This window comes from Homo sapiens, chromosome 13 (assembly GCF_000001405.40).
Source record: "Homo sapiens chromosome 13, GRCh38.p14 Primary Assembly".
NCBI classification, from domain to species: domain Eukaryota; kingdom Metazoa; phylum Chordata; class Mammalia; order Primates; family Hominidae; genus Homo; species Homo sapiens.
Genome location: NC_000013.11, coordinates 70,254,415 through 70,255,990, shown reverse-complemented (window position 1 = coordinate 70,255,990; position 1,576 = coordinate 70,254,415). Strand labels below are relative to the sequence as shown.

The 1,576-nt window shown below is 50.4% G+C and overlaps 1 annotated feature.

Moving 5' to 3' along the window:
• Window positions 333–1,033: an enhancer, noted in NCBI's record as "H3K27ac-H3K4me1 hESC enhancer chr13:70829090-70829790 (GRCh37/hg19 assembly coordinates)". NCBI's record gives its function as "activates a minimal SCP1, AML or CMV promoter by ChIP-STARR-seq in primed H9 embryonic stem cells {active_cell/tissue: H9 hESC(primed)}" and the evidence as "EXISTENCE:reporter gene assay evidence [ECO:0000049][PMID:30033119]".

Sequence of the window (1,576 nt, the reverse complement as noted above, 5' to 3'; positions counted from 1 at the left end):
GAGTTTTGCTCACGACAGCTGGGCTAGCTCCACCCACTCAGCCTGGCAGGCTGTGCTTGGTTCATGCTACCAGCCCAGATCCCACGCTTCCCCGCGGGTGAGCTCAGCATGGAGCGATGAGGGATGTGTAAGCGAGGGAGCACAGGGTCCTGCCACTGCTCACAGCCAGGTGCACTGGCTTCTGCGGTGGGGCGGGCAGCTCCAGGCACTGGCACAGGCACAGGCACAAGCTCCAAGCGAGAGAGACTGTAGCTGGACCAACTGTGCCTCCAGCGGCTTCTGCCTTGGGCGCCGCTGTCTGGACTAGAGGAATGCACTGGTGTCCGAAGATTAAGAGAGACCAGCAACCGTGGAGCCCCAAGAGGTGTTAACGCCGTTTCGTATCTCTGGCTCGGGGAGTCCCAAGATTTGGGTGCCCAGAAGGGTCACAGCTCTTCTCTCCAAGTCTGGCAAATAGGAGGGTGTCACTGCCGGCAGCTCGGCGGGCAGGCCAGGAATGTGTTTTAGCTGGTTTGTGTTACAGCTCATTTGGTCCCACCGCCCCACTCAGGTCCATGGCTCCTGGGCTGGCCTGGCCTTACCACTGCTTCCTGTCACGTGGAAGGGCTACAGTGTTACAGCTGTGTTCGCACCTATGGTTCCGGGTTCTTGTCCTGCATCCAAGAAGAATGGTGTTACATGACAACTGGAGAGTGAGCAAGGTAGAGAAGAGTCTTACTGAGCCACAGAACAGCTCTCGACAGGAGAAGGGACCCAAGATGGGTTGCCCATACCCCGAGGCGAAGGAAGAAAGTCCCTAAGTGACACCGAGTCTGGGGTTTTTATGGGTTCAGAATGGGGGAGTGCATGCTGATTGGTCCATGGGCAGGCCTGGAAAAAGCACCATTCAATTGGCTAAAAGACATCAAGGAAGTTCTCACTCCGGGTCGCAGACTGCAACCAGAACTGGCAGCCCAGTTTTCAGACTTCAGACTGTCGTTGGCTTGAAAGTCGAGTTTCACGGGGCACCTGCCCCTTTCTGCCTGGGAATTTGTCTGTCTTCTGCTATCAGCAGGAGGAATTCTATTAAGTGAGAATAAAAACTAAATTACACCTATCACCTACAGTCTGGAAGACTGTGTGCATTCCCAAGACTATGCAAGTTTAGAAGTGATCATAGAACAAACATCCAAACCTCTATTTATAGGGAAATGGGGGGCAAAAAAGCAACTTCCAGAGCTGTTTGTGTGGCCTTCAAGCCACACAAACATGCACTAGTGAAGAGTAAAAATCTAATGAGGTAAAGTAGCTTAAGAACAACTTTTGACCAGTAAATGCTTATGTCAGCCCAGGGGCAATTTCTGGGTAGCTAGAATAAATGATAGAGGGAGAGAAAAGGAAACAGAGCAGGTACATGAGAGACTGAACACTGCAGGGGATGTACACTACAGAATTTGTACAGCCAAGCCTCCAGACAAATAGATGACAAGCAAAGAACATAACCTCCAGTAAGAGATCATTATTGAGTATTATTGCAATATTTTATCTAATATATCCGATTTTTAGCAACAAGAAAAATTGAGGACATGTAAATAAT